Source organism: Homo sapiens, chromosome X (genome assembly GCF_000001405.40).
Source record: "Homo sapiens chromosome X, GRCh38.p14 Primary Assembly".
NCBI classification, from domain to species: Eukaryota; Metazoa; Chordata; class Mammalia; order Primates; family Hominidae; genus Homo; species Homo sapiens.
Genome location: NC_000023.11, coordinates 18,454,708 through 18,480,571, shown reverse-complemented (window position 1 = coordinate 18,480,571; position 25,864 = coordinate 18,454,708). Strand labels below are relative to the sequence as shown.

At 40.5% G+C, this 25,864-nt stretch overlaps 1 protein-coding gene across 3 annotated transcripts in view, besides 1 other annotated feature; it reads right to left on the bottom strand.

Annotated features, from left to right (window-relative positions):
* The window catches only part of CDKL5 (cyclin dependent kinase like 5), a 228,022-nt gene that overhangs the window by 173,058 nt on the left and 29,100 nt on the right, over positions 1 to 25,864 (bottom strand). The gene's annotated exons all lie outside the window — the stretch shown is intronic.
* Positions 11,301 to 11,502: a silencer, noted in NCBI's record as "fragment chrX:18487190-18487391 (GRCh37/hg19 assembly coordinates)". NCBI's record gives its function as "represses an EF-1alpha promoter that drives an FKBP-Casp9 reporter gene in an ReSE screen in K562 erythroleukemia cells {active_cell/tissue: K562}" and the evidence as "EXISTENCE:reporter gene assay evidence [ECO:0000049][PMID:32094911]".

Sequence of the window (25,864 nt, the reverse complement as noted above, 5' to 3'; positions counted from 1 at the left end):
AATAAGGTGGAACATAACTCCATAGTCCTTAAATGTGGGCTGCACATAGTAACTTTCTTCCAAAGAGGACATTATGGAAAGGGAGAAAAAGAGTAGTTTTACAATGCAGAAACCTGACAAACACCGCCTCAGCCAGGTGATCAAGGTTAATTAACATCAATAGTGATAAGCATGTTGATAGTATGTCCCTTTGATACGATGTGATGAAAATGACACTTTACTTACGTGGTCTTCCTCCCAAAAACCTGCAACACCAGTCTAATCACAAGGAAAACATCAGACAAATCCCAACTGAGGGATACTCCACAAAACACCTAAGCAGTATTACTCAAAACTGTTCATCAAAAACACAGAAAGTCTGAGAATCTGTAACAGCCAAGAGGAGTCTAAGAAGATATGACAACTAAATGTAATGTGATATCCTACATGAGATCCTAGAGCAGAAAAAAAAAGACATTAGATTAAAACAGGAAATTTGAATAAAGTATGAACTTTGAATATCAGTAATCAATAATCACTAACAATATGGTTTATTAATTAGAATGAATGTATCATACCAATATAAGATGTTAATAATAGGGAAAACTACATGTGGGGTACATGGAAACTCTCCACTATCTTTGCAATGTTTCTGTAAACCAAAACCTATTCTAAATTATGAAGCTTATTTTTAAAAACTCACTAGAGGAGATGAATAGATTTCAGCTGGCAGAAGAATCAGTGAACTTGAAGACTGATTGATAGAGATTATGCAATCTGAAGAACACAGAAAAAAATGAAAAATGAACAGAACCTCAGAGAAAAATGGGATACCACTAAACATATCTATCTATCTCATCATCCCCTTTTGGTTGTTTCTCTGGAGAGCCTGGACTAATACACAACAACATACATGTAATGGGAATACCAGAGGAGAAGAAAGAACAGAAAAAAATACTTAAGAAATAGTGGCTGGCCGGGCGTGGTGGCTCACGTCTGTAATCCCAGCACTTTGGGAGGCCGAGGTGGGCGGAACACAAGGTCAAGAGATCGAGACCATCCTGGCTAACACAGTGAAACCCCGTCTCTACTAAAAATACAAAAAATTAGCCAGGCATGGTGGCGGGTGCCTGTAGTCCCAACTACTAGGGAGGCTGACGCAGGAGAATGGCGTGAACTTGGGAGGCGGAGCTTGCAGTGAGCGGAGATCGTGCCACTGCACTCCAGCCTGGGCGAGAGTGTGAGACTCCATCTCAAAAAAAAAAAAAAAAAAAAAAAGAAATAGTGGCTGAGAACTTCTCAAATGTGATGAAAAACATTTAACTACATATCCAAGAAACTCAACAAACTCCAAATACAATAAACACAAAGAGATCCACACCCAGAAACATCATAGTCAAAATGCTGAAAGGCATAGAAAGTCTTGAAAGCAGCAGGAGAGGCCAGGCACGGTGTCTTACACCTATAATCCTAACACTTTGGGAGGCCAAGATAGGAGGATTGCTTCAGGCCAGGAGTTCAAGACCAGCCTGGTCAACACAGCAAGACCCCATCTCTATATCAAAAAATACATTTAAGGCCAGGTGTGGTGGCTCATGCCTGTAATACCAGCACTTTGGGAGGCCAAGGCAGGCAGATCACTTGAGGTCAGGAGTTCAAGACCAGCCTGGCCAACATAGTGAAACCCCGTCTCTACTAAAAATACAAAAATTGGCGGGGCATGGTGGTGCACACCTGTAGCCCCAGCTACTCTACTCGGGAGGCTGAGGCAGGAGAATCACTTGAACCCGAGAGGGAGAGGTTGCAGTGAGCCAAGATGACACCACTGCACTCCAGCCTGGGCAACAGAGCCAGACTCCATCTCAAAAACAACAACAACAACAAAATATATATTTAAGAAAAAAAAAAAAAAAGAAAGCAACAAGAGAAAAACAACTTATCACATAAGAAGAATCCTCAATAAAATTAATAGCTGACTTTCTGATTAGAAACAACGGAGATTGGCCAGGCACGGTGGCTCACACCTGTACTCCCAACACTTTGGGAGGCCGAGGTGGGCAGATCACTTGAGGTCAGGAGTTTGAGACCAGCCTAGCCAACATGGTGAAACCCCATCTCTACTAAGATTACAAAAATTAGCCAGGTGTGGTGGTGCATGCCTGTTATCCCAGCTACTTGGGAGGCTGAGGCAGGAAAATCACTTGAACCCGGGAGGCAGAGGCTGCAGTGAGCTGACATAGCACCACTGCACTCCAACCTGGGCGACAAAGTGAGTGAGACTCCATCTCAAAAAAAAAAAAAAAAAAGGAAAGAAAAGAAACAAACGATGGAGACTGGAAGGCAGTAAGATGACACATTCAAAGCGATGAAAGAAAAGGAAAAAAAAAAACTTGTCAACCAAGAATTTCATATCCAACAAAACTATGTTTCAAAAATGATGGCAAAATAAAGACATTCCCAGATAAATGAAAACTTGAGAGAATTCATTGCTAGAAGATCCAACTTACAAAAAATACTAAAGGAAGTTTTACATACTGAAAACAAGTGACACTAGACAGTAACATGACTCCACACGAATTTTTGTTAAAGGGCCACTAAAGCACAAAGGAGGTGGGTGGGAACAAAGCTATACTGGAGTAAGGAAATGATACCAGATGGTAACTCAAATTTCTTCAAAAATTAAGGAAACCAGAAATGGTAAATAAGAAAGTTAATATAACAAACTACAAATATATACTTCCTCTCCTTTATTCTCCCAGCTTCTTTAAAATATGAAATTATATAAAGTTATCATTTTAACAACATATCTCAGGTTTTAACATAAATAAGACATGTATAATAACATCACAAAAAGGAAGAGAGAATAGAGCTACATGGAAGGAACGGTTTCTATATCTTACTGGAGTTAAGTTAGCATACATCTGAAGTAGATTCTGATAAGCATGTATGTGGTAAGTCCTAGAGCAACACTAAGAAAATAACTCCAAAAAAACTAAAAAAAAATCATTAAAGAAATTAAAATGTTACACTTGAAATTCTTCCCTTAATACAAAATAAAACAGTAAAGGAGAAACAGAAAAACAAAACAACAAAATGAAAAATACAGTAAACAAACAGCAAAATAATAGATGTAAATCCAAACATATCAATAACTATATTAAATGTGAAAGGATTAAACAATCCAATCAAAATGCAAAGATTGTCAGACTGGATTTTAAAAAGATTCAGCCAGGTGCAGTGGCTCATGTCTGTAATCCCAGCACTTTGGGAGGCCAAGGTGGACAGATCACTTGAAGTCAGGAGTTCAAGACCAGGTTGGCCAACATGGCAAAACACCATCTCTACTAAAAATACAAAAATTAGCCAGGCGTGGTGGCACGTGCCTGCAGTCTCAGCTACTCGGGAGGCTGACACAGGAGAATCTCTTGAATCCGGCTCACAACACTGTGCTCCAGCCTCGGTGACAGAGCGAGACTCCGTCTCAAAAAATAATAATAAAAATTAAAATTAAAAAACAAGATTCAGGGCCAGGTGCAGTGGCTCACGCCTGTAATCCCAGCACTTTGGGAGGCCAGGGTGGACGGATCACGAGGTCAAGAGATCGAAACCATCCTGGCCAACATGGTGAAACTCCATCTCTACTAAAAATACAAAAATTAGCTGGGCGTGGTGGCACATGCCTGTAGTCCCAGCTACTCAGGAGGCTGGGGCAGCAGGAGAATCGCTTGAACCCGGGAGGCAGAGGTTGCAGTGAGCTGAGATTGTACCACTGCACTCCAGCATGGCGACAGAGCGAGACTCCGTCTCAAAAAAAAAAAGATTCAACTATATGTTGTCTATGCGAGGCGTATTTTACATTCAGCTATAAATAAGTGGAAATTGAAAGGATAAAGATATAAATGCATAAGAGAGCTGGAATGGCTATATTAAAATCAAACAAACTAGATGTTAAGACTTTTAAAAGTATAAGGTAAAAAACTAAAAAAATCTGAATGTGGACTTTATTAATAATCACTATCAATAACCAATAGTCAGTAATTGGTAATCAAAAATCAATTACTAAAGGTAAAGAGGGATGCTGGGTATAGTGGCTGACACCTGTAATCCCAGCACTTTGGGAGGCCAAGGCAGGTGAATCACTTGAGCCCAGGAGGTCGAGACCAGCCTGAGCAACATGGTGAAAACCTGTCTCTATCAAAAATACAAAAAAGTAGCCAGGCATCGTGGTGCATGCCTATGATCTTAGCTACTTGGGAGGCTGAGGCAGGAGGACTGCCTGAGCCCAGGAGGCGAAGGTTGCAGTGCAATGAGATCACACCACTGCACTCCAGCCTGGGCAACACAGTGAAACCCCCCATCTCAAAAATTAAAAAAAGATAAAGAAGGACATTAAGAGTCAATCCAACAGGAAGGGATAAAAATTATAAACATATTGCACCTAATGAGAGAGCTCACAAAGTACTGAAAGTTGAACCAAAGAAATGAGAAAATTTGGATGAGCACAGTAAGAAATACATAAGGAATGAACTACAGAGAAAATACTCAAGAAACCTATCCTTTGTTCAAATGTGAATGCTTAACCCTGATTTCAAGGTCTGATCAATATAAATTTTCTGATCTTGAGTTACACAAGTTACTAAGAAATAGGAATAGTAATGTTACTTGTTTTGGAAATACATTGTAAGAACAAAATCTAAAATTTGTTATATGAGTAAACATAACTCTATACAATGTATTTTTAAAATTCAGATACTAGAAAAGAGCAATAACCACAAACATTAAAGTAGTTATTTTCATCATCTTTTCCAAGAAAAGCAGTAGACTGAGTTTGGAACACTGAAGTACCACCACCAGTTCTCACTGTATTAATACTAAGTATTAGAAGGCTAAAATAAATTATAAATGATGTATATAATATTTGACAGGAAAAAGAGTAGAGATGATAATTTTCCAATTAGCATTTTCTTAAAATGTTCTTACAAAATTACAAAGTTCAGGCCAGGTACAGTGGCTCATGCCTGTAATCCCAGAACTTTGGGAAGCAGAGGCAGGAGGATGGCTTGAGCCCAGGAGTTTGAGGCCAGCCTGGACCACACAGGGAGACCCTGAGTCTACAGAAAAATTTTTAAAAATTAGCCAAGCATGGTGGGCATGCCTGTGGTCCCAGCTACTCAGGAGGCTGAGGTGGGAGGATCGCTTGTGCCCAAAAGGTCAAGGATGCAGTGAGCCGTGATTGTGCCACTACACTCCAGCCTGGGCAACTGAGCAAGACACTGTCTCAAAAAAACAAAGAAGAAAAAAAGAAAAGAAAAGAAATAAAAATTACAAAGTTTAAGCCAGGTGTGGTGGCTCACGCCTATAATCCCAGCACTTTGGGAGGCCAAGGTGGGCGGATCACGTGAGGTCAGGAGTTTGAGGCCAGCCTGGCCAACATGGTGAAACCCCGTCTCTACTAAAAATACAAAAATTAGCCAGGTGTGGTGGTGCGTGCCTGTAATCCTAGCTACTCAGGAGGCTGAGGCAGGAGAGAATTGCTTGAACCCAGGAGGTAGCGGTTGCAGTGAGCTGAGATTGCCACTGCACTCCAGCCTGGGCAACAGAGTGAGCCTCTGTCTCAAAAAAAAAAAAACCAAAAAACAAAAAATAATTACAAAGTTTAAAATAAATAAAAATTCAAAGAATACAAAATGAGAAAATGTGTTCCTATATTTAAGGTAATACTATTTAACTTTTTAAAAGTTTGAACAACAGATTCTCCAAATTTCATTCACTACCTTATATTCATTCAAACACTAACTTTGGACTAAACAATACCAAATCTCTGAATTATTTGCCTGCCTAAGTTGCTTTTCCACTACTAAAAGTTAAGGTCCCTAGGAACGGGGATTCCATTTTCACAATTCTGTACAGCAAAACACGCTTATGCTTTTATCTTCCTCTGCTACTTTGAACAAGTCACTTCAATAATTTAATCTGCTGTAAAAGGGCATTGTTATACTGATTGCTACAAGGTGTGTTTGATTATTGTTTGTTATAAACTGTGTTTACTTTGGTCCTCAGGCATTAGAAATTATTGAAGGTTTTAAGGAGAACAGTCATACCACAAGTGATAAACTTCTATATCAGAAAGGATTGTTGAGGATGAGGGAAAATGGTTCCGAGGAGGTAGAAACTTGGGGACTTATAAAACTTGGGGACTTATGTACCTTAATAAAGGTAGAGGCAACAGAGATGAAAATAGGATGGTTTTCGGGGAAATAATCAACACATACCATACCCTTACAATTTTTCTGATACCATACTATACCATGAATAATCTCCTCACGGTCTTGTAAAAATGAAGAAAGTCTAGACTAATGCTATCAAGGTAACAAAAACGAACACTTTAATTTGCAGAAATTTTATTTCATTAGACCAAAGTTCCCAGGGCCAGGCACGGTGGCTCAGGCCTGTCATCCTAGCACTTTGGGATGGTGCGGGTGGATCAACTGTGGTCAGGAGTTAGAGACCAGCCTGGCCAACACAGTGAAACCCCATCTCTACCAAAAATACAAAAATTACCCTGGTGTGGTGGCACGTGCCTGTAATCCCAGCTACTCAGGAGGCTGAGGCAGGAGAATCACTTGAACCCAGGAGGCAGAGGTTGCAGTGAGCTGTGACAAGAGCAAAACTCCGTCTCAAAAAAAAAAAAAAGAACCGAAGTTCCCCTGATGGCCTACTTTTCATACACCATCCCCTCTCCCCACCCCCAGGTCTTTAAAAAATGCCACAAGAATTGCTTGAATCCGGGAGGCATAGGTTGCAGTGAGCCGAAATCGGCGCCACTGCACTCTAGCCTGGGTGATGGAGCAAGACTGAGTCTCCAAAAAAAAAAAAAAAAGAGAGAGAAGTTCATTTTTATCTTTCATGTAAAAGTCCAGGTAAGTGGTTCCAGCACTGTCCATATCACAGTCTGAGATATCTAACTCAACTCTCACCAATTTCCCCATATCTCAGCCACAGAGAAGGGGGAAAAGTGGAGGACAGGGAGGCCAAAACTCCACTCCTTTTAGGCAAAACACCCAAGATGTACCTAACATCTTCATTCATATCCTACTGGACAAGATTTAATCCTCTACCACACCTGGCTTTAACGGAGACTGGAAAATGTAGTGTTTACCTGGGTGACGAGCACCTACTGGAAAAAAAAAATACTGTACTATTCTAAAAGTGAACAGATACTAGAAGCCAACAAAATATATTAAATATTCTATGACTACATCTAAGAGGTTCATGTAACTCTCCAGGATACTTCAGTTATTATCAGTGAATGCTCTTAAAAGAAATTAGAAGAGGGCCGGGCACAGTGGCTCACACCTGTAATTCCAGCACTTTGGGAGGCCGAGGCGGATGGATCACTTCAAGTCAGGAGCTCGAGATCAGCCTGTCCAACATTGTGAAACCCCCCTCTCTCTACTAAAAATACAAAAATTAGCCAGGCGTGGTGGCATGTGCCTGTAGTCCCAGCTACTCAGGAGGCTGAGGCAGGAAAGTGGCTTGCATCCAGGAGACAGAGGTTGCAGTGAGCCGAGATCACGCCACTGCACTCCAGCCTGGGTGACAGAGCAAGATCCTGTCTCAAAAAAAAAAAAAAAAAATTAGAAGAGATTCTCCAACCCTAGAGAGGAAAAATTAAATGGGAAAGAGGCAAATGAACACCCCATTATGGACTGCAGGAAGGAAATAAATGAAAACTATTTTCAGCATTTTCTATATCTTATCATGCCCTAAAATCCCCTACTCCGTCAGATATCCACATTTAAAAAAAAAAAAATCAGAAACTATCTAGCATGTATGTTATACTTGCACTGCAGAAGACAGAAGGTATAGACCCAGAACACAAACGATGTGTCGCAGAATCAGAGAACAGCAAACCACTTAATTTTGCTGGCTGAATATATCAACCTAGCCAACAAAATTTTGATGCTCTGTATTTCAAAGAGCCTAGAAGTACACAAATTTAGATCTCCTGAAAAAGGTCATCCCCTTTTATTCATTATTGCTAGAGTGGAATATTATCGTTTCAGAAGGACAGCACAATGTCTTATGGCATGCTTGGGTATTTTTAACCTAAATCCACCAAAGACTATGTAAAAGTTACTTCTACTTAAAGTTTGTACTCGTTTTCCTCTCCAAAACTGAAATGATATTATCTGGCCTGGAATTCATTTACTGGGATTGTAAAACTTTAACAACAATGAGAAAAGTCAGAAAATAAGATACAGATGCACTGTATGGTAAAATACACTAGGGAAAGGCCATGGTGTTAATAAGTAAAAGAACAAAAGCTATCCAAAGTACAGCATTTTAAATTCCTCAGTAAATACCATCAGGAAATGAAAATCTTGAGGCTCAAAGTATTTTAACATTGCTATCATCTACTGATGAGATGAGACCAAAAGAGACACTGAATGGGTTCAAAAATATAGTTAGACAGAATGAATAATTGATAGCACAACGGGGTGACTATAGTCAACAATAATTTATTGTACATTTTAAAATAACTAGGCAGCAGCCAGGCACAGAGCCTCATGCCTGTAATCCCAGAACTTTCGGAGGCCAAAGTGGGTGGATCACTTGAGGTCAGGAGATCGAGACCAGCCTGGCCAACATGGTGAGACTCCTGTCTCTACTAAAAATGCAAAAATTAGCAAGGCGTGGTGGTGCCCACCTGTAATCCCAGCTACTTGGGAGGCTGAGCCTGGAGGATTGCTTCAACCCGGGAAGAGCTGGTTGCAGTGAGCTGAGGTCATGCCACTGCACTCCAGCCTGGGTGGCAGAGTGAGACTCCGCCTCAAAAAAACAATAAAAAATAAAATAAATAAAATACATAAACTGAAACAAAATAAGATAAAAATAAAATAACTAGGCTGGGCACAGTGGATCATACCTGTAATCCCAGCTAAGGTAGGGGATTGCTTGGGAGACCAAGGTAGGGGATTGCTTGAGCTGAGGAGTTAAGGCACCAGCCTGGACAACATAAGGAGACCTCGTCTCTACAAAAATTACAAACATTAGCTGGGTGTGGCAATGCAAGCCTGTAGTCCCAGCCACTCAGGAGGCTGAAGTGGGAGTATGGCTTGAGCCCTGGAAGTCAAGGCTGCAGTGAGCTGTGATTGCACCACTGCACTCCCGCCTGGGCAACAGAACAAGACCCTGTCTCAAAAAAAATTAATAAAACTAAATTAAAATTAAAAATAACTAAAAGAGTATAACTGGATTGTTTGTAACACAAAGAAAGGATAAATGCTTGAGGTAATGAATACTCCATTTACCCTGATATGATTATTATGCATTGTATACCTGTATCAAAAGATCTCATGTACCCCATAAATATATATACCTACTATGTACCCACAAAAAATAAAAATAAAAAATAAAAATTTTTAACCACACATAAAAAAAAAGACTTGAGATGCTCAAAATGAGAAGCTCAATGTAGTGGATCAGTCTCTTGTGAACTTGATCAAGCCGGGAACTGTGTTTCCCAGAATTCCCTTTCCTGCACAGTACACCAAGTTCAAGATGGCCAAATTCTTACAAGATCTTCATGAAGGTCACACAGGGTGACGACAAATGCAGAGGTGTGTGGCAGCTTCCAGCTTGTCCCTGCTCTCCTCTTGTCCCCTCTGTGTCCAGCTCTTCTTCTGATCTGACCAACAGTAGAGCAAGACCCAACAACAAATGCTTGGCTGTGGACCCACAGAGGCAGCAGCTACACGGAGGAAACAGCCTTCCACAGAACTCTCCAGAAAAAAGCCTTTCTGCATGCCTACTTTGGTGACTGTACACATTTGGCTTCTTAAAATTTTCCCAGTAAGCTCTCATTTATCAACCTGTACCAGTACCTCAGGAGGATCTATTAGTGATTTTTTCAGGTCTTTCCTTTTTCAGATAGATATTCCCATCCCCAGCACCTCTTATAATTGTGTACAGTCTGATTACCATATAAGTTCCTTACCCATAATACTCACAGTGGTTCTATTTCTCTGACCAAATTCTCAGTAATGTACTCAAAATTCAGCAATTAATCTGTAATCCAGCAGTACTGACAGAATGGGTTTAATTATTCTGATTAAACCCATTCTGAAAGCTATTTTCCTGTTACTATTAAGCTAAAATGTTCCTAAGATAATGAGGTTCACCTCATCCATTTACTTCTTTTTTTTTTTTTTCTTTTCTTCTTTTTTTTTTTTTTCTTTTCTTCTTTTTTTTTTTGAGACGGAGTCTCACTCAGCCACCCAGGCTGGAGTGCAGCTGTGCGATCTCAGCTCACTGCAACCACCATCTCCTGGGTTCAAGCGCTTCTCCCGTCTCAGCCTCCCAAGTAGCTGGGATTACAGGCACCCACCATCATGCCCAGCTAATTTTTGTATTTTAGTAGAGACAGGATTTCACCATGTTGGCCAGGCTGGTCTTTAACTCCTGACCTCAGGTGATCCGCCTGCATCGGCCTCCCAAAGTGCTGGGATTACAAGCGTGAGCCACCACACCCAGCCCATTTACTTCTATATGTAAGAAATGTTCTCTGCTTTCTGTCAAGTGATTCTTTAAAAAGTCTGCTTCATTACTTTTGTCTTTAATCATTTCTCTACATGTGGCACATAAAAATACATATTAAATAATACAACTTACAGTATTTATTCTAAGTGTTCTTTTAATCAATTTGTCATTTGGGGATTTGCTAAGAGAAAAGACAAATGGACTAAAAATTGGTAATTTTAAAGAAGTCTTCTTTGAAATAAGCCCGTGAATTCTAACTAGAAAATTATAAAAACACAAAACATATGAAGTAGTCATTAGAAATATCTTTTCCCCCAAAAGGAATGAATATATACTAAGCATTCAAATCCTGAACTAGACACTGGTAGGTCTGATTCAATGAAATTTTTTTTTTTTTTTTTTGAGACAGAGTTTTGCTCTCATTGCCCAGGCTGGAGTGCAATGGCACGATCTCGGCTCATTGCAACCTCCGCCTCCTGGGTTCAAGCGATTCTCCTGCCTCAGCCTCCCGAGTAGCTGAAATTACAGGCATGCACCACCACGCCCAGCTAATTTTGCATTTTTAGTAGAGATGGGGTTTCTCCATGTTGGTCAGGCTGGTCTCGAACTCCCGAACTCAGGTGATCCACCCGCCTCGGCCTCCCAAAGTGCTGGGATTACAGGCATGAGCCACTGCACCCCGCTATTTTTTTTTTTTTTTTTTTTTTTTTTTGAGACAGAGTCTCACTCTGTCGCCCAGGCTGGAGTGCAGTGGCAGCATCTCAGCTCACTGCAACCTCTGCCTCCCAGGTTCAAGCAATTCTCCTACCTCAGCCTGGCAAGTAGCTGGGACTACAGGTGTGTGCCACCACGCCTGGCTAATTTTTGTATTTTTAGTAGACACGGGGTTTCACCATGTTGGCCAGGCTGGTCTGTAACTCCTGACCTCCAATGATCTGCCCGCCTCAGCCTCCCAAAGTGCTGCAATTATAGGCGTTAGCCACCACGCCCAGCCCTATTCAATGATTTTTTGTGACCTTTTCTAAAGAGTCTTCAGTTTCTTTTTGACCTTAAAAACCATAAAAGTCTAATATACATTTTCGTACAGCTTTTATAAATTACCAACTATTTCTTTCATGATTGTGACATTAGGTATTCTATAGTTAGCCTACTATATTCAAGGGTATAAAAACAACTCAAAAGTGAAAAGACAGAAATTATCTGCCATGAGTAAGAACCATACTTCAATACGAGATCTGAGCACTAATCTCCAAAGCACTACGTAAGACTAAGAAAATTGATTGTATCTGAAAACCCAACCCTAGAAGTAGCTAGTAGTACTGGGGGTGAGGGAAGATTAGGAGATATTCATGCTAATAAAAGAACTCTTGTTTTACAAAATAATTCACTTTATAACTTATTTTAAAAGAACATTCATAAGGTGTGTTTAAAATTACCGTATCTAGAAAAACTCTGGGAACAAATCATTTTACAAGATGGTGTTATTCTATAAAAACAAGTATAAATGCAAAAGCCAGTGCTTACGCTTACTAAAGGCCCACCGCTGGATCCCTACCCACAAAATGGTATAGAACTCATATTTCCAGTGGGAAGGATTTCTTCAGCTCCAACTCAAGAAAGAAACATACAACTAATGATTCACTAAAACACCACTGGGAAAAGAAAGAAATAGCACGTTATGTGGCTTCTTATAGAATGCTTGAGTTTACTATAGAGTTTATATTTAATTTACACTTACTATGAAGAAAAATTGTACTTACAGTATCCGCACATTCTGAAAAGAATCCAGAACACTGTGAATCAATTCCTTTAAGGTCACAAATTTTAACTTAAATCAGTCTCAGATCCCATTCATTTGCTGATTATAATTATAGCTATAGCTATTTTTTTCAAATTGGAAAACTACATACTGAATTGAAATATAATCATACTCCAAAATTAGAATAAGATTTTTCTCTAAACTTGATATTTAAAATTTTTTAATCTACAGGAATAATAAAATTATTTAACCAGCTAGACTGGTTGAAGATACTAAAATTATTTTTTTAATCTGAGCACATTTCAATCATCACTTAACATTAGTTTCTAAAGTTTTCTAAAGTCTTCATAACAATTCACATATACAACTGACATTAATCAAACACCTATCACATGTAAACCGCAGTGAAAGACAAAAAAAAAGGTGGGGGATAATTCTCCTTCCACAACACTAATTACAATTACAGCTTTTGCTTGCCCACTCCCTTAATTCCCAAAATAGTCAACAGAGCCCTTGCTCATTGTAACTGTCTCTTGCTGGTCCTTCATGGAGATGAACCTGCAATGGTGGGCTGTTTTAAGTTGCAATCCCTTTACTGAGGCTGCTTAGCATTTGTTGACCTCCTTGACTACAGCAGCTTACAGACTCCTCAAGTTCACAAGGAGCATGCATGAAAATGCTACAGGACAACCTATGACAATACTCTGATCCCTCAGCTGCAACTCATCAAATTACTAATGTTGTCCTGAACCCCTATTAACTTCAATAGGGACAGCACCATGTTTGAAAAGCCAAAGAAGAGACCCAGAGCTAGTGAAAAAGATGTAGGGTTTTTGAGGGAACTTACATGCAGGGCCATCCAGTCCAGTGGCAGCAGGCTAGAAAGAAGAACTGATCCCACTTGTAAAAAAGCATGCAGTTTATATAACATTTTGACTTAGCACCCTCCCCCACCAACCTCCACCTGGCAACCTTCATTTAACCCAAAACAAAGATCCTCAATCTTCCGGCAAAGCCCAGGATCCACAGGACTGGCCTGGGGGCTCAGATGTTCCTTATAGATAATGAATGAATCTGCTGGTTGGTCACTGCTGGATTCCTTAGTTCGGTACCCTATGAACACAAGTTGTTCTTAGACCTCAGGGTCATTCTCGGGGTATGCTTAAGTAAGTTACTGCTGTCAGGTACATATGCTATACAGGTTCATATTCAGAGTATGCCTCTGTTATTACTGTCAGATGTGTCTGGCATACAACTAGTCAATTTGGTATTTTCCTCTGGAAAACATTACCTGACACTTGCTCACAATGATGCTCATATGCCACTTCTCTCCCAACGAAGTTTCCAGAGTTCTTCCTGCAGTGCATCTCTATTGGCACCACAGAGCATTACCCAAGCAAGCCAATGCCCTCTGCAAATGCGGAGAGCTCCCTGGGGTACTTCCAGTAGGAGGCTCATAAGAACAAGGACTAGGAAATGAGCCAGGCATGGTGGCTCACACCTGTAATCCCAGCACTTTGGGAGGCCAAGGTGGGAGGACTGCTTAAGCCCAGGAGCTTAAGACCAGCCTGGGCAACATGGCGAAACCCTGTCTCTACAAAAAAATACAAAAAATTATCTGGGCGTGGTGGCGGGTGCCTGTAGTCCCAGCTACTCGGGAGGCTGAGGCAGGAGGATCTCTTGAGCCCAGGAGCTCAAGGCTGAGGTTGCAATGAGCAACCACACTCCAACCTGGATGACAAAGCAAGACCCTGTCTCAAAAAAAGGAAAAGAAAAATGAGCACATCAGAGACACCTTATGGCTTCACTAGTGACTTCACTACTTGGAAGAATTTTTTAAACTACTGATAAGTTTTCATATTTTAAGTCCTTGAGATACACATTAAAAGCTGTCTCAAAAAAAATTAAATTTTAAAGATTTCATAAGATTTGCTTATAAATCCATTAGGAACATTTATAACACTGTCTCAAAAAATACTATTAGCTTTCACTGGGATTGAGGCACCTTTGAGATTTGGGTTTAAATTCAAAGATAATTCAGAAATGAGAATGGGGTGTAGTTTTTATCTTTCATTTAGGAAGACTTTCTGCTTCCAGTAATAATGATTATATATAATTCAGACAAATCTCTTCACTGAGAACAGGTAGAAATCTAGACAAAAATGAGTGCTAGGAATGACCAAAAAACCTATCATTTTCCACAGATTGTACACAATAGAAAATCCAAAACAATCTACAAGTAAGCTAGCAGAAAAAATTAGCTTATCAAAGCTGAGGGATACAAAAGTTAATGTTCAAAAACCAACAGTATTTCTATACACCAGCAATAAAGCTAGGAAATGAATTTTTAATACCATTCCTGAAACCATCAAAAATTATCAAATTCCTAGAAATAAAAAGTGGAAAATCTTCTATGTAGAAAGCTATTAAACAAACAAAAAATACTTTTACAAATTAAAGGGACCTAATAAAGTGAAGGGATATCCCATGTTCTTGAAATTTAACACTGTAAAGATGTCAATTCTATCCAAATTGATCTAGAGACCCAAAACAATCCCAACCAATCCTAACAAATTTTTAATCGAAATTTACAGGCTGATTTTATTTATTTATTTATTTATTTGAGACAGAGTCTCACTCTATCGCCCAGGCTGGAGAGCAGTGGCACAATCTCGGCTGACTGCAACCTCCCCTTCCCGGATTCAAGGGATTCTCCTGCCTCAGCCTCCCGAGTAGCTGGGATTACAGGCACCCGCCACCATATCCAGCTAATTTTTTTTGTATTTTTAGTAGAGACGGGGTTTCACCATGTTGGCCAGGCTGGTCTCGAACTTCTGACCTCAAGTGATCCGCCCACCTCGGCCTCCCAAAAGTGCTGGGATTACAGGCATAAGCCACCATGCCCGGCAGAAGATTTAAAAATGTATACATAAATACAAATAGCCAAGGCAAACAAGACGTCCTTGAAGAAGTACAACAAAAAGACTTTCTCTCTGGATTAGGACATATTATAAAGCTCAGTCACTAGACAAACAGATGAAAAGAATGAACAGAAGGCCCAGAAATAGATCATACAGGGATGCTTGCTGTACAAGACAGTTGGCACTGCAAATCAGATCTTTTCAAATGACACTGTCATTTGGCTATTCATAAGGGAAAACAAAATTCAACTTAACCTCCAACTTACACCATACATAAATACTAACTTCAGGTGGATTACAGACCTAAATATAAAAGTCAAAACAATAATGCTCCTTAAATATAATATAGAAGAATATCTCTTTGTGGATACAGCAAGCACCCACCATAAAGGAAAAGACAGATAAACTGGACTATATTAAAATTAAGAACTTCTATTTGTCAAAAAGAAAGTTAACAGTTCAGCCACAAAGCAGATATTATATATACATGTACACACACTGACATTTTTTAAATGGCCAACACATGATAACAAAAAGCAGACCAACTCTTAGTCAATAATTTTACTGATTTTAAATTCCCTAAAGAAAATGCACTTTGTTATTGCCTGAACCTGGGGTAGACCTCACCTTTCACCCCCAGCCTTAGGTACACTACTGACTTTTGGGGTTTTGCAATGTTTATGTCATCACCTAGGTCAAGTTACATAAGGTTTGGCTTTGTGATAATTCACTGAATATCTCCTATACCTTATGAAGTGTTTGCCATGCTTCACTGTGGCATAGTTTAAAAAGCCAATGAGTATCTACACCTCTTGATTTAAAAAAGTGGTAAAATAAAAAAAAGAGAAAGACAGAAGCTGAATATCCTTAATATGTTAGCATCTTACAAATCAGTATAATATAAACACCCAAAGAGAAAACAGACAAAGAGATATTAACAGTCCTTTCACAAAAGAAATGCAATTATCTAATAAAAGCTGTTTGTTCCTGGCCAGGCATGATGGCTCACATCTGTAATTCTAGTACTTTAGGAAGCTGAGGTGGGAGGATCACTTGACCTCAGGAGTTACAGACCATCCTGGGCAACTTAGTGAGACCTCATCTCTATTTTAAATAAAAAGAAGAAAAAGAAAAACCCTGTTCCATCGCAATAGTAATCAATTAAATTAAAAAAAAAACAAAAATGAGAAATCAGTTTTAACCTATCAGATTGGTAATAAGTAAAGTAACTGGAAAATATCTAGTGCTCTCTCATAGGTATGGGAAAATGTGAACTCACATTCAAATCAGGTAGGAAGAAATATAAAGGTTTCTGCCCATAATTTCTTTAAAAAAAAAACAAAAACAAAAACAAAAAAAACACACACACCATACTTAAGAAGATGGTATATTCTGTCATACATGTCACAAAACTAAGAAATGGGCAAACTATTCCACATCTTTGCTTGTGGCTCATAAAATTCACTAGGAGCTAGCTGCCTATTTTAAAGGAGAACTTTGGAACTTGGTATTGACCTATGTAATGAGACTATTTTATGCCCAATATTAATTAGTTCTTGTAAGACACCGTAATAAACTTGCTATTCTAATAAAAGCCACAAATGTTTCATCTTTTTTCTTCTTAGTTGCAGTTCTTCTCCCCAGACTAACAGCACACCAAGCATCTTAAACTGTTTTGCCCCAGATTTCCTCTGTAACAACTAATGTGGACAGGATGTTTTTATGACCATGGATAATGAAATTGCAATCTTTACCAATTAGCTGCTTGTATAAACATTCTGTTTCCCAAATATAAAATCCACCAATTTCCAAACGCACACTGATCATTCATGTGTGGAACACTAACGTATTCAAATTCAATTTGTCTGAGAAAATTTGTTACGGAATTGTATAATTCCATGCATACAAAACTGAGTTTAAAGAAACAAATGTATACTCAAAATATTTAAAGAGAATAATGTTTTGCTAATCTCTGTAAAGTGGGATTTGAGGCGATTCTGCATTCTTCTTCACTGTCCCCTCAAGTACCTGAATTTCTTACACTAAACTTGTACATTCAGGGGAAGAAGCAATTATTTGTAGAAAACATCCTCTTCCCCCTTGTCCCATTTTCCTGCACCATGTGGCCTTTGCGTCTTCTGCCTGCACTGCTTCTAAAGGCACCACCATCCTCTCAACACCCAGGTTCAGAACCATAGCTGCTTCTGAGGCTGTGGCCTCTTTCCTGACACTTGACCAGCCAGCTGTCAAGGCTCACTCATCCCAGCTGTGTTGCTCCTTTCACTTTCCAAGGCTGCTACTCCCAGCTTCCGGTATCTTTTATTTTTTTCATTTATTTTTTATTTTTGAGACAGAGTCTTGCTCCGTCACCCAGGCTGGAGTGCAGTGGCGCAATCTTGGCTCACTGCAACCTCCGCCTCCTGGGTTCAAGCGATTCTCCTGCCTCAGCCTCCTGAGTAGCTGGGATTACAGGCGCACACCACCATGCCTGGTTAATTTTTGTATTTTTAGTAGAGACGGGGTTTCATCATGTTGGCCAGGCTGGTCACGAACTCCTGACCTCAAGTGATCCGCCCACCTAGGCCTCCCAAAATGCTGAGATTATAGGCGTGAGCCACCACGCCCGGCCTCCAGTATCTTTTAGTTTTAATTCATCTTACAAAAAAAGTTTGTTGGCTCACTCTTCCTAAAGTAAACTCCAAGGATGTCCTTTCCTTCACCCTAACGGTTCCCCAGCCCCATATACTCACACCCTAGTACTCAATCAAGGTCTCTGCAGTAAGGCCCCTGCCTTCTTGTTCTCATAACTTCCCTTCTCAAACCTTACTTCAACTATTCTCTGACCAATTAAGTCTAGACCAATGGTTTTCAAACTTTAACACATCACAATCACCTAGAGAACTAGTTAAAACCCAGGTTTCTGGGATTTCTGAGTTTCTGAATCAGTAGGTCTGGAGTGGAGCCCAAGAGTTTGCATTTCTAACAAGTTTCCAGATGATGCTGATGCTGCTGGTCTGGGGACCACACTCTGAGAACCACTTGGTATAGACTATATGTTCCTGCTACATGATTCCATCAAGCAATTCCCTTCACCTGGCATATATTGCAGCTGCGACTGAAATCCTTTCAAGGTGGACCTCTTAGACCACAACCCTTCCATGAAGCTTTACAGCAGGGGTGTCGAATCTTTTGGCTTCCCTGGGCCACATTGGAAGAATTGTCTTGGGCCACACAGGAAATATTCTAACACTAACGATAACCAATAAGCTAAAAAAGAAAAAAAAAAAAAAACCGCAAAAAAAATCTCATGTCTTAAGAAAGTTTACGAATTTGTGCTGGGCCACATTCAAAGCCATCCTGGGCCACATGCAGCCCACAGACCGCGGGTTGGATAAGCTTACTTTACAAGGATACCTTCCCCTCTCTGCAACCCAAATAAAATGTGATATGCTGTGATATGGAAGCCCGGCAGCACTTTATTTCCAATTCTAGTGACAATTATAGTTGGTCTTGTATCATGGTATGTGCCTCCTATCCCCATTAGACAAGGTCAAGAGGTTAGGAGATTCATTCTCATTGGTCTTTGGACATGGAGATGCCTAGCACAGAACCTTGCAAATATCAAGAACTCAGTTTGAAACTTGCTGACTTATGCTGAACTAGAATTTCAAAAGGGCATTGTCCTTTATTCTGTTACACACTGCAAGCCCTCAAATAGTAGCTAGTAATATCACTGACAGGCAAAGTACACTCATTCCCATAACAGTAAGCAACAGGAAGCAGTACTCAACACAATCCATTTACAAAGGCATGAACAAGTTTCTTCAAAGACCGTGTGTCTTGAAAGTAAATCAAGATTGACAATAGAGGGAGAGATAAGATGCTTAGTTTTTATATTCTTTTAAGGTCTTTTGAATGATATGGTAGGTCTATACTATTTTCAGATTTATCTGCAAGTGACCCCAAAGGTCTGTGATGTTTGGTAATTAATGACTTAACTCACACAGGCTTGATGGAAATACTCGGACAGTAAAAATGCCTAATGGCAAACTTTAATCTTTTGTCCTTTCAAAAAGAAAGCAACATAAATTGCTACAACTGTTTTAGAAAACTGGCCATGCTGTGGCCCAGCAACTTCCCTCCTTCCTAGGTATGTACCCAAGAGAAAGGAAAGCAACTGCCCACCAAAAGACCGGTACAAAAACATTCATAGTTTTATTTGAATTAGCCAAAAAACAGGAATCTAACTAGATACTCATTGACAAGAAAGTGGATAAATTGTGTTTTACCATGCAATAAAATGGAAACAAGAAAAAGATTCAGGAAACTTTTGCTCCAATCATTGTAAACCACACTCCCCAAATGAGAAAGAAACCCAAGGGAACGAATGGTTCACCAAAATATTTCCATCGTGTCCAACCCTATCTTCCCTGAGAAATTATATGTAGTACTGTGAATATCAAATTTGGGAACATGGAAAATTTCATTGTGATGCCTCCTGCCAACCCACAGCATTCTGACATGATGGGCCTCCTTGAATCCCACTTAATAAGGGATAAAAACCTAGATAAGCCAGGAATGGTGGCTCACACCTATAATCCCAGCACTTTGGAAGGCCAAGGTGAGAGGATCACTTGAGCCCAGGAGTTCAAGGCTAGCCTGGGCAACATGACAAAACCCCGCTTCTACAAAAAATACAAAATTAGCTGGGCATGGTGGAATGCACCTGTGTGGTCCCAGCTACTCTGGAGGCTGAGGTGGGAGGATCACCTGAACCTGGATAGATAGAGGCTGCAGTGAGCTGAGATCACACCCCTGCACCCCAGCCTGGGCAAGAGAGTGAGACCCTGTCTCCAAAAAATAAATAAATAATAAATAAATAAATAAAAAGAACCTTGATATGGTTTGGATCTGTGTCCTCACCCAAATCTCAGGTTCAATTGTAATCCTCAATGTTGGAGGCGGGGCCTGGTGGGAGATGATTAGACAATGGGTGCAGTTTCTAATAGTTTAACACCATCTACCTGGGTACTGTTCTCGTGATACTGAGTTCTCAAAAGACCTGGTTGTTTAAAAGTGTGTAGTACGGTCCCCCCTACGGCACCCCGCTTCCTCCAGCCATGTAAGACTTGCCAGCTTCCCCTTTGCTTTCTGCCATGATTGAAAGCTTCCTGAGGCCGAGTGCGGTGGCTCACGCCTGTCTCAACATTTTGGAAGGCCGAGGCGGGCGGATCACGAGGTCAAGAGATCGAGACCATCCTGGCCAACATGGTGAAGCCCCATCTCTACTAAAAATACGAAAATTACTCTGTCTCTACTAAAAATACAAAATTAGCCAGGCATGGTGGCGCACACCTGTAATCCCAGCTACTCGGGAGGCTGGGGTGGGAGAATCGCTTGAACCCAGGAGGCAGAGGTTGCAGTGAGCCGAGATCGTGCCATTGCACTCCAGCCTGGGCAACAAGAGCAAAACTCAGTCTCGGAAAAAGAAAAAAAAAATTAGCTGGGTGTGGTGGCATGCACCTGTAGTCCCAGCTACTCAGGAGGCTAAGGTAGGAGAATCACTTGAACCCGGGAGGCACAGGTTGCAGTGAGCTGAGATCACACCACTGCACTCCAGCCTGGTGACAGAACGAGACTCCATCTCAAAAAAAAAAAAAAAAAAAAAAAAAGAAAGAAAGCTTCCTGAGGCCTCCCCAGAAGCAGTCATGCCTCCTGTAAAGCCTGCAGAACCATCCATGAACATATTAAACCTCTTTTCTTTATAAATTACCCAGTCTCAGGTACTTCTTTTTTGTTTGTTTGTTTTTTAAGGCAGTCTCGTTCTGTCGCCCAGGCCGGAGTGCAGTGGCGCGATCTTGGCTCACTGCAACCTCCACCTCCCAGGTTCAAGAGATTCTCCTGCCTCAGCCTCCCGAGTAGCTGGGATTACAGTCGCCCACTACCATGCCTGGCTAATTTTTTTTTGTATTTTTAGTAGAGACGGGGTTTTGCCATGTTTTAGCCAGGCTGGTCTCGAACTCCTGACTTCAGGTGGTCCGCCTGCCTCAGCCTCCCAAAGTGCTGGGATTATAGGCATGAGCCATGGTGCTCGGCCTCAGGTATTTCTTTATAGCAGCACGACAACAAAACTGATACAAACCTAGATAAAAGTTCTTAAATTTTCAATGTGATGAAATTTGTTCTAAAAACCCTCTTAAAAAAGTACACCAGGATACACGTTGAATAAAGCCAGCTAAGCTATTTCCTGTTATGCACATGTATAGCCTTTCCCCTTTTTATCTAAACTATTTAATGCTCCAGTTGTTTTTTATTTCTGCGTACCTACCACTTACTGTCCCAGGCCCTGGTAAAACTAAAGGCAGAAGGAAAAGACAGAAAAGTTCCCTGACCTCCCTGAAGGAAGGAAATACAGGTAATAATAATGCCAGGAAGTAAACTAACCAAAGCTTTTCCAACCCTCCAGGTACAACTGTGGAACCACATTCTAGACCAGTGCTACCTAACAGAACACTCTGCAATGATGGGAATGTTCTATATCTGCACTGTCTAATACAGTAGCCACTAGTCAAATGTGGCTATTGGGTATCTGAACTGTGGCCAGTGCAACTGAGGAACTGAACCTTTATTTTCTTTTTCTTTTTTTTTTTGAGACAGGGTCTCGCTCTGTCGCCTAGGCTGGAATGCAGCGGTGCAATAATGCACAGCTCATTGCAGCCTCGATGTCCCGTTCCCAAATGATCCTCAGCCCCACCTCCACCATAACTCCCACAGTAGCTGGAACTACAGGCATGTGCCACCACACCCAGCTGATTTTGGGGTGGGGGGGGATTTTTTGTAGACACAGAGTTTCACCATGTTGCCCAAGCTGGTCTCAAACTCCTGGGTTCAAGTTAATCTTTTAGTTTTAATTAAAATTTAATAAATTTAATGTCTAATTAACATATTTACATAGCCACATGTAGCTAGAAGCTACCACATTTGACAGCACAATTCTACACATGTCCATCATATTTACCATTAATATATACTATAGTTCAACTATAGTATACAGTATAGTAATTAGAAATTATACTATAGTTACAACTACTAGTTGTAAGCAGCATCACTTTAACAGCTCTTGAAGGGGGAATAAAAAACATTAAGCAGGCTGGGTGCGGTGGCTCACGCCTGTAATCCCAGCACTTTGGGAGGCTGAGGCAGGTGGATCACCTGAGGTCAGGAGTTTGAGACCAGCCTGGCCAACATGGTGAAACCCTGTCTCTACTAAAAATACAAAAATATTAGCCAGGCATGGTGGCGCATGCCTGTAATCCCAGCTACTCGGGAGGCTGAGGCAGGAGAATCTCTTGAACCCAGGAGGCGGAGGTTCCAGTGAGTCGAGATCGCACCATTGCACTCCACTCTGGGCAACAAGAGTGAAACTCCATCTCAAAAAAAAAAAAAAAAAAAAAAAAAGCCGGGCATGGTGGCTCACGTCTACAATCCCAGCACTTTGGGAGGCCCAGGCAGGTCAATCACGAGGTCAGGAGTTCGAGACCAGCCCAACCAACATGGTGAAACCCCATCTCTATTAAAAATATAAAAATTAGCTGGGCATGGCAGCATGCACCTGTAATCCCAGCTACTAAGGAGGCTGAGGCAGGAGAATTGCTTGAACCCAGGAGGCAGAGGTTGCAGTGAGCCGAGATCACACCACTGCACTCCAGCCTGGGCAACAGAGCGAGACTCAGTCAAAAAAAAACAAACAAACAAACAAAAAAACATTAAACATACCAGGGTTTAGACGCATCTGGATTTCAGAGATGCTAGAAGAAAATGGGAAGAAAAGTGTACCTTAGAACAGAGGAAATCCAGTAGCCATGTTTTCCCCTTGAAGATGAGCAGCCTGTGGAAAATGATATAATACATCTATGCCTACAATAGAGCTCCGCACAGAGAAAGTGTTCAATAAACATTTGCTCAACAAAGTACCAAAATAATCCCCGACTAGGATTCTAAGAACAAGGAATTGGATCTGTTATATTTGTATTCCTAGCACCTACACAGTGCTTAGAACAATATGCACTAAATATTTATCTTTTAATTGGCATGCAATGACGACAGTGGAAAAAATGGTGGGGCTACAAATAACATTTCAAAGACAGAAGCAGAACTCACTGACCAGAATGGGGAATTGAAAGAACTCTAGTACTATGCACAGAAAAAGGCAAGTCTAGAAGAGGAGTTGAGTTTGAGGAAAGAAGCTAAATGTAAGAGAATAGTATGTGGTGCCTACTACTTAGAAAACTATATACTAGATACTTTAAGAACTATAAAGGTGCAACTTGCCCTCAAGAAGTTAAGGTCCAGCAGAGGATGGAGTCTGTATGTAACTATAGTGCAAAGAAACGATAAATGCTCTAAGAAGGATACTGATGAAGTGTTGTGGCTATGTAGAAGATAGAAAAGCATATTTCCAGAAGCACAGGGTTAGGGTTAAAACAATAACGCATTACACCAAGGGCAAGAAAGAAGAGGAAAATGGCCAAAAGCAATAGATTGTTAAGGAAAATAAAGATTATTGCAGAGGAAGAAGGCTAGAGATGGAAGTAGGAAGACTAGGTGTATTTGACAGAAAAGAAGGGAAAAGAATTTGAAGGAGATCCAGACTATCCAATGCCATAAAGCAGTAAAATATCTGCCAAAAAATCCTAATTATTGTTACCATTCCAAGTCCAGTTCAGGTCCTATCTACTCTCAAATCCTCTCAAATTCCTTCAGGCTTGAATTAATCTCTCCTCCTCATATATTCCCACTGTACCAACAATATACATGTCCACAGACAAGAACTATGTATTATTAAGCTCAGAACTCTGTAGACATAGCACAGCATCTTTGACATATGGAATATAATATACTCAACTGAGTATAATTATCCTAAAATATTCTCTGAACTGAGTTTATAAATAATAACAGCTTATTTTTCAGTAGCACATCAATGAAAACTACACCACATCAAGATTGGGTTGTGACGGAAGGTTGGGTTGTGACGGGCGGGCGCGGTGGCTCACGCCTGAAATCCCAGCTCTTTGGGTGGCCAAGGTGGGTGGACCACCTGAAGTCAGGAGTTCGACCAGCCTGGCTAACATGGTGAAACCCCGTCTCTACTAAAAATACAAAAATTAGCTGGGCGTGGTGGTGGGCACCTGTAATCCCAGCTACTCAGGAGGCTGTGGCAGGAGAATCACTTGAACCTGGGAGGCGGAGATTGCAGTGAGCACCACCACACTCCAGCCTGGGTGACAAGAGCAAAACTCCGTCTCAAAAAAAAAAAAAGAAAGAAAGAAAGAAAAAGATTGGGTTGTGACATCTACTTAAGTGGCCAGAACTTCTGTTTCATTCAGTTTGTTGGGTATCAACTGTGGATCAGATGTTGTATACAAAAGTTTTTCAGAGGAAGACCTCATAGTAAAGGTGAAAGGGTTAACTCCAAATGAGAAGTGCTAAAATAAAGGTAGTCACGTGCTGCATAATGATGTTTCAGGCAATGACAGAAACAGGCTTTACAGAAATCTTGGACAGGAAAAGGCTTTACAGAAATCTTAAACAGTGATTTTCTCCAAGCATTCCAAATAACAGTTATCTTCTGTTACATGATAATTGTTACGATTATCTTCTGTTACATAAAAAAGCATGTTATTCATGGGAAATGGAATTTTTAAAAAGTATAAAATGCATTACAGAAGCGGGTTTGCACTGTGCACTGAAGTGCCATACTGGCCTCCAGCAGGCCTCTTAACAGTCCTCAACCTAACAGTTACCAAACTCCTCATCAAACTCCTCATTACCTCTGGAAAACAGAGATCTGGCTGTTGCCATCAGTACAAATGTTTTTGGCTAATGGTTAACTATCTAGTTCAACTTCACACTTCTGCTCCCTTATATTAAGCTGGATGCTTTGTATCCAAAAGTCAGTTGCATTTCTTACCCAAAACTGTCAATTCCTCTGGTAACAATCATTACATGTTTTTCATTTAAATAGTGTGCAAACCAATTACAAGAAAGTGCCAATTTTGTAAAAATTACATTGGATGCTTTGGCAAGATTCAACAAAGGTGATGAGTCACTTAAAAAATGTGCCTGTCAAATCGGATGTGGGTTAGATTATGTTAAAAGACAGGAGACAACTATAAAAATCTATTATTCTGCACTAGTTTCATAGGTTATCTAAATTATTGCTCTACTTTCAAGTCGTCGAAACTGAACCTACTGCACACATAGGATGGATTATACAAGATGACACCGAACTTCAGTCAACTGAGAAAGATCCTAGACATACGTCAAAATAGTGGCAATGAGCTAGGCATGGTGGCTCATGCCTCTAATCCCAGCACTTTGGGAGGCTGAGGCAGAGGTTGCAGTGACCCAAGATCATGCCACTGCCCTCCAGCCTGCGTGACAGAGTGAGACATGGTCTCAAAAAAAAAAAAAAAAAAAATACACTTGAGAACTATTATAGTGATGCAATGATATTATATCATTTCCATGCAATGACATTATATCATTTTCAAATGATATAATGAGGCAGGTGGATCATTTGAGGTCAGGAGTAGAAGACCAGCCTGGCCAAAATGGTGAAACCTCATCTCTACTAAAAATGTAAAAATTAGCCAGCATGGTA